The sequence below is a fragment of the Homo sapiens genome, chromosome X (assembly GCF_000001405.40).
Source record: "Homo sapiens chromosome X, GRCh38.p14 Primary Assembly".
Lineage (NCBI taxonomy): Eukaryota > Metazoa > Chordata > Mammalia > Primates > Hominidae > Homo > Homo sapiens.
Genome location: NC_000023.11, coordinates 155,465,880 through 155,466,539, shown reverse-complemented (window position 1 = coordinate 155,466,539; position 660 = coordinate 155,465,880).

Sequence of the window (660 nt, the reverse complement as noted above, 5' to 3'; positions counted from 1 at the left end):
GCTTCATGGCTACAAGGTTGAAAAGGGGAAGCTGAGGGAAGCAGAAAGTGCTGGGGAGATTGCAGGGAGGGAGGAAGTGCTTGGGAAAGTAAACCCATGAAGCTGTGTATGAGCTTCTGGGCTTACCCCACAAGGTGTGTATGTACAGATGTGATCCTGTACGACATACAAAGGACTTTGAGAACTGCACTGAGTAAGGGATATAGACCTCGCCAGCTCCAAGACTGCTGATCATGCTTAACAGAACCAAATACCATTGCAAAGGCTTTGAAATGGAACTAACAATAAAACCCCCGGTCAGAACATGTGGCCTGAGCCTAAGTGACTGGGGGAAAAATGAGTGGAGACTTGGGGATCTGTGGGAATATGACAAAAGAGCTACCTTTTGTGTCATCATAGTGACAGAAGGAAAGGAGGAAGGGGGTGGGACTGAAAAAGTATTCAAATAAATAATGGCTGGAAGATTCTAAATACGGCAAAAGACACATGCCTGTACATTTAAGAAGCTGAGTGAACCCCAAACAGAATAATCTTAAAGAAACCTACACCAAGAAGCATCACAGTCAAACTTCTGAAAACTAAGGACCTAGGAAAAAAGTCCCAAAAGCAGAGAGAGAGAGAAAGGAAACCTTACCTATACGGGAAAAGGAATTAGAATGG